This window comes from Homo sapiens, chromosome 15 (assembly GCF_000001405.40).
Source record: "Homo sapiens chromosome 15, GRCh38.p14 Primary Assembly".
In the NCBI taxonomy this organism is placed as follows: Eukaryota; Metazoa; Chordata; class Mammalia; order Primates; family Hominidae; genus Homo; species Homo sapiens.
In genome coordinates this window covers 73,901,578-73,917,089 of record NC_000015.10, presented here as the reverse complement: position 1 = coordinate 73,917,089, position 15,512 = coordinate 73,901,578, and the positions used below count along the sequence as shown (strand labels likewise).

Genomic DNA, 15,512 nt, shown 5'->3' with positions numbered 1-15,512 from the left:
CCATGTTGACCAGGCTGGTCTTGAACTCCTGGCTTCAAGTGATTCACCTGCCTCGACCTCCCAAAGTGCTGGGATTACAGGCGTGACTCACCACGCCTGGCCCATTTTTTTCTTTTGAGGTGTTCTTTGTGGCAATTCATATATTCTTTAAGATAAATTCTAAACTTTTTTTTTCTGCCGAGATAAACTAGCAGACAAATCCCACTGGACATTGCAATTGGATTAGTTTTGTAGATTAATTTAGTGATAATCAACTTCTTTGCACCATTGAGTGCTTCTGTCCGGGAACGTGGCATATCTTTCTATTATTAAGGTCTTTTTTATTATAGGTCTTTAGGGAAGCTTTATTTTATAGATGAATGTAGTGTGTTTGGTGCTTATTTTCATAAAATAAAGCAATGACATCTGTGGCAGGCAGCTTCTGAAATGGCTCCCAATGATCCTTACCTTCTGATAGTCACCCCCTTGGAGAATCCCTTTCCTTTGTGTGTGGGCTGGATCTAGTGACTTGCTTCTCATAAATAGAATATGGCAAAAAATGATGGGTTGTTACTTCTGAGATTAGGTTATAAGAGGCGAATTTCTGTTTTGCTGTAATTTTGTCTCTCTAACCCTCTTGCTTTCCTGTGCTCATGAAACCAGCTGCTGTGTTGTGAGCCACCTTATGGAAAACCCATGTGGCAGAGAACCGAGGGTGGTGGCTGGCCAACAGCAAGCCAGGAGCTGAGGCCCACAGTCCAACAACTGGTGAGGAACCACATGCTGCCAGCAGCCATGTGAGGGAACTTAGAAGCAAATCCTTCCCCAGTTGAGCCTTCAGATGACACCAGAGCCTTGGCTGACCCCTTACTTTTACCCTTGTAAGAGACTTTGAGCCAGAAGACTTGGCTAAACCACACCTGGATTCCTGACCCACAGAAACTTGAAATAATAAATGTGTTGTTTTAAGTCACTCGGTTTTGGGGTAATTTGTTACATAGCAGAGATAACTAATATAGCCCCCCTTTTTTGCATCATGTTTTCTAACAGTTTATTAGGAAATGAAAATTTATTTTAGGCTGGGTGCAGTGGCTCACACCTGTAATCCCAGCACTTTGGAAGGCCGAGGTGGGTGGATTGCCTGAGCTCAGGAGTTCAAGAACAGCCTGGGCAATGTGGCAAAACCCTGTCTCTACTAAGAATACAAAAATTAGCTGGGCATGATGGCGTGAGCACCAGTAGTCCTAGCTACTTGGGAGGCTGAGGTGGAAGGATCGCTTGAGCCCAGGAGGCAGAGATTATAGTGAGCCAAGATCACCCCCATTGCACTCCAGCCTGGGTGACAGAGCAAGACCTTGTCTCAAAAAAAAGAAAAGAAAAGAAAAAGTTATTTTATAACTAGCCACTTTACTAAATTCTTCTATTTTGATAATTTTGTATTTTCTCAGTTTTTTATGGGAAGACAATCATATTTGCAAATAATTATAATTTGTTTCCCTCTTTTTTATTTTTTCTATCTAATTTCATTAGCTAGGATCTTTAGAATAATGTTAAATAACAAGATATTAGAACTCTTTGTCTTGTTCTCAGATTTGGTGGAATGCTACTTGTATTTTACGCTTTTGGTTTTGGCTGTTGGTTTGAGATTTATTATTTTTTATCATGTGAGATAAGTGTACTTTGATTTCCCGTTTACTTGAGCTTTTAAAAAGAAAATCAGGAATGGATGTCGCAATTTACCAAACATCTATTCAGTATGTAAAATGATCTTTTTCTCCTTTGACCTATTGCTGTGGTAAATCAGTTCACTGCCATTCTAATATAGAATTATCCATGCATTCCAGGAATGTTTGCTCATGGTGTATTCTTTTAATACATTGTTGACATACATTGGACTTATCTGATTAAATTTTCATTAGGACTCTACATTTGTATAAATGAGGCAGGTGTATGACTCATTCATTCTGTCTTTCTTTGTGCCACTTGTCAGGTTTTAGTATCAGGGTTATTCTGGCTTTACAAAAAGAATTGAGAAGCGTTTGAGTTAAGGTCCTGGCAAAAAAACACTCACCCAAGATGGTTTAACTAAAGAGACTTTAATGAAGGGACTTTTTATAGAAATGTGGATAAGGGGACTGGGTGCGGTGGCTCACGCCTGTAATTCCAGCACTTTGGGAGGCCGAGGTGGGTGGAAAACTTGAGGTCAGGAGTTCGAGACCATCCTGGCCAACATGGAGAAACCCTGTCTCTACTAAAAATACAAAAATTAGCCAGGTGTGGTGGCACATGCCTGTAGTCCCAGCTACTCGGGAGGCTGAGGCAGGAAAATCACTTGAACCCAAGAGGCAGAGGTTGCAGTGAGCCAAGATTGTGCCGCTGCACTCCAGCCTGGGTGACAGAGTGAGACTCTGTCTCAAAGAAAAGGAAATGTGGATAAGGTTAAGTGAACAAAAAAGGCATGGTAAGGATGGTGAGGTACCCAGAGACTAGACATTATGGTGTTACTGTCCTTAGGGCTTCAGGGACAATGGGAGGAACCAGTGTGACCAGAGCCCAGGGAGAGCTGGAACCTTGGAGAAGAGGTGCAGGCAAGAGCTGAGCTTGTGGAGGAACAAAGTCCCCGCCAGAGAGAGGGCACGAAAAGAGGCAGGGCACAGATGAGATACACCAGCTCTTCTCACCTCCTGCCTTCCACACTCCTGCCCATACCCTCCATTGTCAGACTCAGCAAGGAGCTGGAGGACAAGGGAGCCTGGGTGATGAATGCAGTTTGTGGGGCTCAGGGCTGGGCAGGGAAGGAAGTGGCTCTGGTGTGATTTCTGCTTCCTGACTGATACGTGCATAACCATGTGTTTAACATGTTTTTAATATTCACTTCCAGAGCTTTTATACAATTTCTCTGTGTTGATTTTTTTTTTTTTTTTTTGAGACAGGGTCTTACTCTGTTGCCCAGGCTGGAGTGCAGGTCAAGGTCACTGCAGCCTTGACCTCCCTGGCTCAATCAATCTGCCCACCTCCTGAGTAGCTGGGACTACAGGCTTATGCCACCATGCCTGGCTAATGTTTTATTTTTTATTTTTTGTAGAGATGGGATTTTGCCATGTTGCCCAGCCTGGATTTTTTTTTTTTAATTTAGAGACTTTATATGGGCCAAAGTTGAGAATTGCAGCCCAGGACTTGCTTTTTCACTTACTATTATTTTACTTACTTTGACTCTTGCTGGCTTGGAAAGAGTGCATCTCTGAGTACCTTTTTCCCCGTGAAAAGTAGAGCCATACATGGCATGTGTCCTAAGTTCTGGCATGTGGGAAAGTCTTTTTCTGTTGTCTTCATGCATGATTGCACCAGGCAAATTGTTAAAATGTAAGGTCACAACTGATCTCTCAAAATTCTGTAAAAGAGTGGTTCCCAAAGTGTGTTCTATTGAACACCAGTCTTACCACATAGTCTATGGCAAAGGATTTCATAGTCAAATAAGTTTGGAAAACTGGGCTTGCTAATATTGCCAGTTTAATAACATGCATGAATACGTTAAAAGCCCTGAGAAAGCCTCAGCATAGGGTTTTATCTTGTTTTGTTTAATTCAGCATTTCCCAAGCTTATTTTATGACAGAAACTTTTTTCCTCAGTACAAATAGTTAACAAAATTCCATGGACTCTCTCTTCCAATTATACACTTTAAGAAATGTTGGGCTGGGTGTCGTGGCTCACACCTGTAACCCCAGTACTTCGGGAGACCAAGGTGTGAAGATCACCTGAGCCCAGGATTTCAAGACCAGCCTAGGCAACATGGTGAGACCCCCATATCTACAAAAATCAAAAAAATTACCTGGGCATAGTGATACATGGCTGTAGTCCCAAGCTACTTGGGAGGCTGAGGCAGGAGGATCACTTGAGCCCAGGAGGTTGAGGCTGCAGTGAGCTGTGATCGCACCACTGCACTCCAGCCTGGGCCACAAAGTGAGACCCGGTCTCAGCAACAACAACAACAAAAATGAATGTTGCAGATATTTCTCCATATTTCTCTCTGCATGGGTGCTGATAGAATTCTTTCTTTACCCTTGCAATTTGAAAATTCTACATGGCATTTCTAAGTGTTCATTTATTTTTATTAATTTGACTTAAGGAGGAATCTTTTAAATGTATAAGCCCAGGCTTCTCATCAGCTCAGGGACATCTTTCTCCTGTGATTCTTGCTTTTATTTCATTTGTTTAGTGTCTTCTGTAAGCCCGGATACCTATCATGTTGTCTCTCTGTTTTTTATCCTGTTGTGCTTTTCCTCTGCAGTCTCAGAGAACTTCTCCTATCTGTCCTTCACATTTACAGATTCCATTTTCTGTAGTTCCAATTCTGTTCTTTACCATCTTGATGGAAATTAAAATTCTACTGCATTTTTAGTTTCTTTGCAGTCTTTCCTTCTCTCCTCTGGTTTGTTTTTGATTTCCACCTGCCTCTCAGTCAGCAGCCTTCTCATTTCATTCTTTCCATCTTATTTTTCAACTCTCATTTCTTAGAGTGCGCACTTTAATTAAATGAATTGCGTACAGAACAGATGTGGTCTGCAAGTTATTTATGTTTATGTGATAAATCTTTTCAAAGGAATTACTTTTCTCTGCCCTTTTAGGGCCACGTTCTCTTCTTGCCTCATGCAGAGTCTTTTCAAAGGCTCTGTGTATTTCCAAGTATATGTGTGTGCATGTGGGTTTGTGTGTGGGGGTGTGTGTTTGCTTTTCTCTGTACTCCTACTTTAAAGATGAGTGTTTTAAACTTTTTTTAATTTTATTTTTTTTTAATTTATTTATTTAGAGACTGGGTCCCACCATATTGCCTGGGCTGGCCTCGGACTCTTGACCCCAAGTGATCCTCTGGCCTCAGCCTCCCAAGCAGCTGGATTTACAGGCAGGCACCACCGCACCGAGCTAAAAGTGAGTGTTTTATAAAATCTTACTATTTTCCCCCAAACAAGGAGAAGGAAATGGATTCTCTTTAGGTCACCCTTCGTCTGGATGTTGCTCCAATTGTCCTGTCATATTTTAGGACTGGTTAATGCAATTTCACATCACCAGTTGGCTATGAACACAAACTGTCTGTGACATGTCTCCCCACTTGTCACCAGAGGCACCAGCCAGTAGTTGAGCTGGCTGCAGGTTTGTGTGTGTGTTTGTGTGCAAGTGTTCCGTTCTTTCCCCACTCCAGGTAGAGCGTCCAAGGGCCATTACCAGCTCAGGGATCTAGCTGGGACAACTGTGTGGGAGTTGGCTGGGGCCAGGTCCAGCAGGTAACCTTGCCTCCTCTGCACCAAGGGCCAGGTCTATTTGCCCAGCGTCCAGGGTTTCCTGGCTGTTCCTGTAGGTATTCAACATAGCTATGATAAGACTTCTGCCCCCACTAACAGGAAAGGAGGAACACGGTATTAGAGAGAACCTGATTGAGGGAGGAACTCCTCCCACCCCACCCAGCTCAGTTACCTACTTGACATGGCAACCACATACCCCCACCCCAGCCCACCTCCCAGTCAGCTCCTTCCCAAGGCAGTTGATAGTATGGAAAGGGCTTTCCAAAGATGCCCTGCAAGCCCCGTGTCCCACCATCTGCCCTAATTTAGGGTCAGTACATTCTGCCAGGACCTCATCTACTTCTCATAGTATAGTTTTGCTTTCTCAAGAATTGGAGTTGTGAATCAGCCCTTGAGGTCTTCCTTTAATCTGTATCTTGCACACTTTACAGCAATCCCCAGCTTTCCTGGCACGAGAATGTACCTTCTCTGGCTTTCAGTCCAGGCCAACAGGCGTTCTCTTCTTTCCTAGTCTTTTGATCAATTCAGCTGGGATCTGGGAGGGAGGAGAGTTCTGCACCAGCATAACAGGATATTGTGTGGGACTCTTCCTCCTGTTCTGGAATTGCAGCTAACACCCAAAGCTGAGTACAAAAGGCACTGGGGACCCTGCCTTCTGCATTCAGAGGGTTGTCAGTGGGTGGTCAGCAGCTAGTACCATCTCCCTCCCGCAGGGCTGATGGCTCTTCTCTCATCAACCACCACCACCTCCCACAGTGACTGGAAGAGGAGCAGGGGATGGAATGGTCGGTTGCCATGTGGGGAGGGCAGTGTTTGTGGTAGAGGCTGCTTGCTCCCCTCTTCACGGGAGATGATGGGTGGGGTGGGTGCCTTTCCTCCCTGATAACATAAGATAATTTCTTGTAAGGAGAGACAAGCATACCATCCCCCAGGGGGGCATCTGCTTAGTCTGTGAACCCCCTTGTATACCTCTGAGCTGCCTGAGTTGGGGAAGAGGGCAATACAAGACAGATGGTGGAGTGGAGAGAGAGAGCTGTGTGAGGTGGCTGGGCTCAAGTGGACAAGCTGGTGTCCCACCCATGAGGGCGTCTCTCTAGGGCTTGAGAGAATGCACAGGCTGTCCACGAGACAGTCACCAGGGCAGAGAGGAGGGAGTGGAGTAGCCAGAGAAGCAGTGACAATCCACCTAGGAGAGGACATGTGAGAGTTGCTTCCAAGTCCCTCTCCTGGCCCCGCAGTCACTGAGAGACTAGAAAAGTGATAGGGAGGCGGATCTGGAGCTGGATGCTCCCCTCCATTGTGGCCTTGTTGGTGGGGGAGGGCCAGTCACCACTCTCATCTGGGCAGAAGTGGGAATGGCAGGAGAGACAAACAGGAAGTCTTGATTAACGAAATGAGACAGTTCTAGTAGATGAAAGTGACGGCGGAGTTGTGGGACGCAGCCACGATGTCATTAAGATCCCTACCACCCAGTAGGAAAGGGATTTCAATAGAGCACAGTTGACTGTGTGTGTGTGTTGGAGGGGAGATTATTAACAATTTCACGTCTACATCCTAACAAATTGAGGCCCTACAAAAAATGTGCTACACTTGAAAAAAAGTCCTTAAATGAGGAAGAAAACAGCTTTGGAACTTTTTAGGGGTAGAGGATTGCAAAAATGTGGGATGGGAACATGTGGGTAGTGAGGATAGATGGAAGAGACTTTCAGTAGAGGACCCAGGGGGTCGAGAAGCTAGTCCTTGTTCTCTGGCTTGCAAGTGACAGAAGCCCAACTCACACTAGCCTGAGCAAAAATGAGGATTTATTGGAGGATCTTGGAGCATCTCACAGAATCTAAGAAACAGCCCAATAATTGAGCCAGCAGAGGGGCGGGGATGTGGGTGGGCCTTAGAGACATCTGGAACCAGGGATTTGCAAGCCACAGCAGCCCCACCAGGTTCTTGTTTTTGCTTCTTGCTGCAGATCAGCCTCATTTGTTCTTTTCCCAGAAGACTGGTTTTGTCTAAGACAGAAAATATGACCACTGACAGCTTCTGAGTGTTGTAACTTGGAGGTTATGTCATGAGAAAGAAGTGAGTCTCGGTGTCCTTGAGTCTGAAAACACCAGAAGAGGGGCCTCCCTGGCTGTGATGAGTCCTGCAGAGGAACAGGGCTATGCCACCCTAGAAGAAAGAAGGTCAGACAATTGGGACAGGTGTTCCTAACAGGAATCTAACAGCCTGACATCATGGCCTTACGCAAACATGAGATTCTGATGATCCCACCTTCCCTCCACTTCCCAGGAGTCATGCCAGCTGCAGAGGCCCTGATGAAACTCTGTCCTTCATCTCTCGTGAAGCCCGTGGCAAGGGCAACAACCACCACAACAGTAATGCTAGTAGCTAGCATTTATTATGCACTTTGCCTCAGGCCCTGGGCTGCACTCTATGTGGATTTTTTTTTGAGATGGAGTCTCGCTGTGTCGCCCAGGCTGGAGTGCAGTGGTATGATCTTGGCTCACTGCAACCTCACCTCCCAGGTTCAAGCAATTCTCCTGCCTCAGCCTCTGGAGTAGCTGGGACTACAGGTGCGTGCCACCACACCCAGCTAAGTTTTGTATTTTTAGTAGAGACAGGGTTTCACCATGTTGTCCACGCTGGTCTCGAACTGCTGACCTCAAGTGATCTGCCTGCCTTGGCCTCCCAAAGTGCTGGGATTACAGGTGTGAGCCACTGCGCCTGGCCTTTACATGGATTTTTATTTCATCCTGACTGCAGCTGTCTTACTCCCCTCACTTTGCAGACGAGGATGCAGAGACAGGGAGAGGTTAGGAGCCCAAGGTCACACAGCTAGTGAGAGGCAGTGCAGGCACTCTGCCTAGGTCAGTCTGGTTCCCAAGTCCATGTTTGCCATCATCAAGCTCCCTAGCCTGCAGGATTGAAGGTCTGGCCCTGGGCATTCCCAGAGGAGGTGGAAAAGTTCACTGGTCTGGTTGATGGTTCTGCCACATGGACTTACAAGGCATCACAGCCAGAGCCTGAGGAACTTTCTGGGGCCTGTGCCCTTCACACCACCAGCTGTGCCACCACAGGGTCTCTAGACAGTCATCATGAGCACCTGGGAGGTGATGCTCCTGTCTGTAAGCAGCTGCTGTGGTCAGTGAGTGGCTGCATAGCTGGGTCCTCCATCCTGGTGGCTTTGGGGACAGTATAGGCTCTGGTTCTCTTCTCCCTCCATTCTTTACCTCCTTTCAGTCTCTTCCCTTCTGGTTTTCCCCCTTCCTAGACGCCTGGCTTCCCTGGGCCTGCTGCACCTGCTCTGGCTAGGTTGGAGAGGGCTGCAGGGAGGACCGCAGTCAGCAGAGGGCGCCAAAGCCTCTCAACACAAGCATGGCCCAGGCCTGGCCCAGAAGGAGAGCGCTGAGAGCCAGGACTGGCGGGCTACGTGCGCCCTGTGGATTCCCCCATTTCCCATGCTTCATCCAGCCATGGGCCTGCAGTGCACTCACAAATGTGCATATACCCTCCTGTGTGTGTGTTACACTCATCAAATTGTCTCTGAATTTGCTTGGCTTCATGTGTTCCTGTGTGTGTTTATGTGTGTGTGTGGTGTGTCTGGTGTATCTGGTTCCCCAGGAAGCACATTTGACAGCCCCACAGTCAGGGTCAGGGCACAGGGACAGATACTGTGTCTATAACAATCCATAACACTGATTTTGTTCATCTCAATAAATGTGAGAATGAAATAAAAATTAATGTAGAATATTTTGTACATCTCAATAAAGCCACTTTCTGGGGGCAGGCATTATAATTCTAGCCTCTGTTCTACTGTTTGATAGGTAAAGAATAACTTTCCACATAGGGAGAGGAATGGACAGCTACCCAGCCCTCCCACTGTTACAGGCCTGGGCTAGAAGCTTTCCATCTAGGCTCCTGGTTGACCGTACTAGCAGTCCTGTGAGCCAGGCAATAGTAGTCCCATTGTACAGATGAAGACAGTGAGGCTCAGGGAAGTTAGAAAACAATTTCACGTCTATACCCCAACAAATTGAGACTATACAGTAAGTGTGTTACACTTGAAAAAAATCTTTCTTAAAAGTAAAAGAGAAAGAAAACAGCTTTGGAACTTTTTAGGGGTAAGAGATTACAAAATGTGGGAATGGAACATGTGAGTGAGGATGGATGGAAGAGGCCATCAGCAGAGGACCCAAGGGGTTGAGAAGCAAGTTCTTATTCAGCTTGCAAGTGACAGAAGCCCAACTCACATTAGCCTGAGCAAAAATGAGAATTTATTGGAAAGATCTTAGAGCATCTCCCAGAATCTAAGTAAGAGCTCAATAATTGAGCCAGCAGAGGATCACACAGCTAGGAAGTGGTCAAGCTAAGATTTGGTTCCTGTCTCTCCAATTTCAAAGTCTATGCCCGTTTCACACTTTCTAAAGCTGCCCTCTCAAATTTGTGTTTTCCTTCCATGCAGACCCCACCAAAGATGAACTTGAGAGCAGCCCGGTGAAGTATCAGGAGCAGCAGCTGCTCATGGCTAGAACAACTGAGCTGAGAAATTCATGTTGACAGACAGTTTGTGGCTGATTTCTACGAGTCAAAGAATAAGGAACTATATTTAGCTGCTTGCTCTGGGCTAGTTAGCTGGTGGGGAGTGAGGGCTCAGACTGGGGGAAAAAAAGAGGAGGAGGAGCAGGAGGAGGAAGAGGAAGAAGAGGAAGAGGAGGAGAAGGAGGAGGAGGAAATGAGAGAGAAAGAGAGATGCCCAGTTGTCTGCTGTCTGGCCTGGGGTCCTTACCCTCAGAGTTGGGTCTCTGCAGCAAGCTTTGCATGGAATTGTGGTTGGTGGGGCCTCTTTATAAAGTTAAGACCTGCCCATATTACTAGGCTGGTGGGACAGAGAACAAGAGCCTGAAGAGGTGAATCTTCCAGGCTTGCAGATCTCTTCTCTACACACATGACATCGGTGAATGAGTCATTCTACACTTGGGGGTTCTGGAGCTCTGTAAACCAACACTCAGCACAACTCAGATCCAAAAAATAGTACTCAGCACTGCACATACATTCTTGATGGCATAGGGGTTAGCTTTGTCCCTTTGATTGACTTGACCTCAGTCTTCTCCTCCTCCTGGGTCAGGAAAGCCCTTTTCTTCCTCTCAAGGGAAAATCGAGGCACTTGCCCTGGATGGACTTGGGCTTGGATTTCCCAAACAAGCTGCTTCCCAGAGGAAGAGAGAGGCAAGAACCTGCCTCCTCCTCCCACAGATATCTGAGCTCTGCCAGGCCTGCCTTCCTCCTCCGTGTACCTTGTCCTCTCCACATGTAACCAGTGGGGCTGGTCCCTCATCCTTCTTTCCAAACTGCCACCACCCTCTCCACTCCAGATTCCATTCACTCAAAGACATCAGGGAGCAAGGTTGAGTATACTGACAATTTGGGTGGGAAGATTCAGAAGATGGTCTCATACCCCACGGAGACACATGAAATCCTTCTTCCATAGTTCTCTCCAGCCTCTCCCCGACCTCCTCCCACATACGTCTCCCACTTCCCTAGCCCCTCCTGTCCCTAATTTGCCTACCCAGCTCCTTCAAGATGGCAGCACAAAGGGTCACCTGTGACCAGAACTCAGCTTCCTGGGAAGGCAGTGGAGAGTATAAATTTATGGAGACAAAACTTTTCTCTATTTAGAAGTAGCACAACAAACTTTCTGGGACTCTTGAGTGTGAGCAGCTTAGAAAAACGGGACATGAAACTGAAGCCCAGCAGACATGCCCATCCCATCCACCCTGCTGGTGACCAGGAGCCAGTCCCTTGCTGAGAGCCTGGGTTTCCTTGACCGACACCGAGTGATACCTGAGTTCTCCCAATGTTCAGGCAGGAGCTCTTTGTTCCAGACTGTGCTGTCTTGATGGGGAGGCACAATGATCCCTGGGACAGAGGCCAGGGAAGGGCCCTGGAATTCCCAGCTTGGTCCTATGCTGCTCAGTTGACTCTCCCAAACCTCCAAGCCAACTGATTCTGCTCTGCCCCTTTAGGGAGGCTCCCAGCTGGGCCCTGGAGCAAATGCTGTAAACCCACAAATCTGCTCAGGGTTTTATCCCACCTGGGGGCCACAGATTGGTGGGAGAATGGGAGGTGAATAAAGGCAGTGGTGGCTCTTTAAAGAAAAAAAATGCCCTGGTTTGTAGCAGTTGCCAATTTCCATGGTGTAAATACTCCCACCACAGCCAATTTCAAGCTATCAACATGATGTCACTGAATGCAGAATTAAGAAAAGGTGTGAAAATTTCTTTTTTTTCCAGCAAGCTGACTTCAGCACACCACTGGACAAGGTAAAGTGCCTGAATCCGGGGACTCTAATCTAAAGGTTGTACTGAATTCAGCCAGGTAGAGCCAAGAAACAGACTGCTGAGTCGGCACATCCCTTTCTCAGGTTGATTTAAGAAGGGAGAATAACTCAAGGGAGCATTATGAGGGAATTTCAGAAACAATCAGATCATTTAGCAATTGAATTGTCTAAATATTTTTTCCTAATTTAAAGTTGCGTGTCATGTGAGTAATTGGACAATGCATTATTGAATTACTGAGGGATTTAATGCCTAAATTGGAGAAGCAATCAAACATTCACATCTTCAAGTAGTTGATGGACACCTAAGGAGGTATTCACATGATGGCTGGGGCTAGAGGGCGTGGGAGGCCTTGTCCTAAGTGGGCCCTGAGCCTCTCTTGCAAGCTGCCTCATGCACCGTGGGCCCCAGCTAGGCCTGGGCTGCACCCTCCTGGGCCCCCTCTGCTGCTACGGTCTTTGTTTGTCACTCTCCAGTTTGTGTTTTTGTCGCTAAATTCTTCTATTTTTGCCCTTGGCTTCCTCCACTCTGTCATTTCTTCCCAGTCTCAAGCTGTCTCTCGCTCTCTGTTTCTGCCTCTGTCTCTATTTGCTGTCTCACTCTGTCTTCCTCCCTCCATCTGTGTGTTTTGTTTTGTCTGTGTCTCCATGTCTCTCTTACTCTTCTCTCCGTGTCTCTTCCTTGCTGTCTCTCTCCATTTCTTTTGGAGTCTCTCTCTTTTCTACACACACATCCCTGGCCTTTGTCCCCCAGTCCCATGAGCTCCTCTCGTCCCTCCTTTGGTTTCCACTTCACCCAGCTGCACTCTGACCCCTGGCTCCACATCTATCTTGGCACCATGCTGCCAGTCAACACCCCTTCCCCCAAGCTGATTCTGCCCTGCCTCAGACCTGGGACCTGTACTATGAACCCATAGACATACTCAGGATTATGGCACATGGCGGGAGGGGAGGCCATGGTCACTCTTTGAAGAAAATGAAACCCCTGATTTGTAGCAATTGCCAATTTCTGTGGTGTAAATACTCTTGCCATAGCCGATTTCAGACAACCCGCATAATGCCACTGAATGCAGAATTGGAAGAGGTGCACAAGTTTCATTCTTTTGAGCCAGTGCAAGCTGACTTCAGCACACCACTAGGCAAGAAGGGGCTTCCTGCATGCCTGCGGGGGCTGGGGAGAGTGCACACATGGCTGGCTACAGAGCAGCCCACTGTAGCCTTATAGAGCTCGACTTTGGGCCAACAGCCCACTCCAACCTGGTTAGTTCTTCCTTGTGGCTGACTCATAGAAGTGCTCACCTTAGGATGGGGCAGGAAGCCCAAGGACTCACTGACCTCTAGACTTAGAAGGAAGACTTCCTAGATGAAATGCCTGGGCTAAGTCACAAAGCAGATGAGAAATTTTGTGTTGCCAGAGTATATATATATATATTTTTTTGAGACGGAGTCTCGCTCTGTTGCCCAGGCTGGAGTGCAGTGGCGTGATCTCAGCTCACTGCAACCTCCACCTCCCAGGTTCAAGTGATTCTCCTGCTTCAGCCTCTTGTGTAGCTAGGACTACAGGCATACACCACCACACCCAGCTAACTTTTTTTATTTTTAGTAGAGAAGGGGTTTCACCATGTTGGCCAGGCCAGTCTCGAACTCCTCACCTCAAGCCCCTCGGCCTCCCAAAGTGCTGGGATTACAGGCAAGAGCCACCGTGCCCAGCCCAGAATATACATTTGAGGCTGGAAAAGGTAAGAGTTGGTGTCAAAGAGGCAGACCGAGGGCAGGATCACTGAGGTCTTGAATACTGAGTGAAGGGGCCTGGTCTTTTCTTATTGGCATTGAGGAGAGTACCATGATTGAATATGTTGCCTTAGGTTGGTTCCCTGCCCCCACTAAACAGGCCTTCTGACAAGGATTTGGGTGTAGTTGTTTGTTTGGAAGATGATCCCAGGCAGCATGTGAGGGAGTAGGGAAGTGAGACAGGGAAGAGAAAAAGGTAGATAAGAGTTACCCAGCAGCTACTGCTGTGGAACACTGAGGTTCAGCCCCCTGTGGACCCTCTGAGTGTACAGAACAGGTCTCAGACTTGTCCCATTGAGGGGTGGGAAATCTGGGGTGTGTATCCACCAGCTCCCCGCCCTTCCTTCAAGGGCTGCTCCTGGGGTGTGAATCCCCCTGATATTCCATGTGGGCCAGTTTTGGTCCAAGGCCAGATAGTTCTCTCATGAAGAGATGCAGAAGCCGGAGGCATGGGTGCCAGGACAGGAGGCGGCAGCAGCCTGTTATGGTAAGGACTGAGTGGTGTCCTGTGGACTGGGCAGCACAGAGGTGGTTGTGATTTTCAGGAGGGCAGTTTTGGTGGGATAAAGGGGAGCGAGTTACAGGGAGAATAAGAGAGAAGGACACACAGAGACTATGGACTACTCTGAAAAGTATGGACAATGGGAAAACTGTTGCACGGTCGCTGGGACTGGTGAACAGGTGAGCTTGGGTCTGGTTATGGAGTTGCTCTGAGCCAGGGAGACAAGCAGGCAGACCTGCGGGAGCAGCAGCATGTCACCCCACCAGCTGCCAGACCCGACCCGGATTGATGGAAATGTAGAGGGGGGCCTCCCCAGGGCATCCCAGCCTGCACTGATTCAGACTGAGCCACCAGGGCACTCAGCTGACACCTCACACTTCTGTCTTCCTCCTTGGGAATTGTGGATTGGCTCGGCATGACCCAGTTCTACAAGCATTTATTTGATTGATTGGAAGCAGAGAAGGTCTCTGCTCTCCAGGGGAGCAGACCCCATGCTAAGCATGGAGCGGATGGGAAAATGAGAAAGACCTACTGCACAGTCGAGGGGAGAGGCAGGCATGCAATGACAGATGCATGCAGTGGGCTGTGGGGTGGGCACCAGTGGTGCCACCATCGAGCATGGTGGAGGCTGGAGAAGAGGGAGCTGTTCTGTCTGCTCTGGGGAAGGCTTCTTGCAGCAGCCAAGTCTTGAAATGTGACATAGGCTGAGAGGCAGAGAAAAGAGGGGACAGGTATTTCTGGATTTCAAAGGCTTCCAGCTTGCTTAAGCCTTCCTTATAGCTGGGTATCACACACCCTCAGGCCGATAGGGCTCACTGACTCCAGAGACAGGCCTTCCATAGCCAGACCCCTCCTACCGTCCTGTGATGGAGTGAGACTGCCCTTGCTGGGGAGGTGTCAACAAGAGGATGCTTGGAAGGCAATGAGGAGGGCCACGGCAGGCAGGCAGCTGCTTTCTTTGGTTAGGTTCTTCGGTGTGGTAGGCTAAATAATAGTCCCCCAAAATATCCCCATCCTAATTTCCAGAACCTGTGAATGGCAAAAGTGACTTTGCAGATGTAATTAAGTTAGGGATCTTGGCCAGGCGCGGTGGCTCGTGTCTGTAATTTCCAGAACTTTGGGAGGCCAAGGCAGGAGGATTGCATGAAGCCAGGAGTTCGAGACCAGCCTGGGCAACAAAGTGAGTCCCCATCTCTACAAAAAAATAAAAACAATTAGCTGGGTGAGGTGGTGTATGCCTGTGGTCCCAGCTACTCAGGAGGCTGAGGTGGGAGAATTGCTTGAGCTTGGGAGGTCAAGGCTGCAGTGAGCCATGGTGGTGCCTCTATACTCCAGACTGGGTGACAGAGTGAGACCCACCTCAAAAAAACAAACAAAAAAAAAGGGATCTTGAGATGGGAAGATTATCCTGGATTATTTGGGTGAAGGTCAGGGGAGGAAGTAGGAGATGTGACAATGGAAGCAAGGTTGGAGTAACATGAGAAAGCGGCCACTAGCCCAGGAATGCAGGCAGCACCCAGAGGCTAGAAAAGGTGAGGAAACAGATCCTCCCCTAGAGTCTCCAGAAGGAACCAGCCCTGATGACACCATGACTCAAACCCAGTGAAACTGATTC

General features: G+C 47.8%; 1 protein-coding gene across 3 annotated transcripts in view, besides 2 other annotated features; it reads right to left on the bottom strand.

Moving 5' to 3' along the window:
- Nucleotides 1-7,065: 7,065 nt before the first annotated feature.
- Nucleotides 7,066-15,512, bottom strand: part of TBC1D21 (TBC1 domain family member 21) — a 36,461-nt gene continuing 28,014 nt past the window's right edge. For 2 of the 3 annotated variants that reach the window (XM_011521281.4, XM_047432198.1), the window contains one exon: nt 7,066-7,439. In XM_011521281.4, the coding sequence (XP_011519583.1) occupies nt 7,332-7,439 (108 nt within the window). In that variant the 3' untranslated portion in view covers nt 7,066-7,331. Of the gene's footprint in view, nt 7,440-9,803; nt 9,849-15,512 lie in introns of those variants that run through there. The other variant, XM_011521283.3, reaches the window with a different exon arrangement.
- Nucleotides 8,587-8,706: a silencer, noted in NCBI's record as "silent region_6640". NCBI's record gives its function as "represses an Ori minimal core promoter by ATAC-STARR-seq in GM12878 lymphoblastoid cells {active_cell/tissue: GM12878}" and the evidence as "EXISTENCE:reporter gene assay evidence [ECO:0000049][PMID:35858748]".
- Nucleotides 14,277-14,778: an enhancer, noted in NCBI's record as "H3K4me1 hESC enhancer chr15:74194653-74195154 (GRCh37/hg19 assembly coordinates)". NCBI's record gives its function as "activates a minimal SCP1, AML or CMV promoter by ChIP-STARR-seq in primed H9 embryonic stem cells {active_cell/tissue: H9 hESC(primed)}" and the evidence as "EXISTENCE:reporter gene assay evidence [ECO:0000049][PMID:30033119]".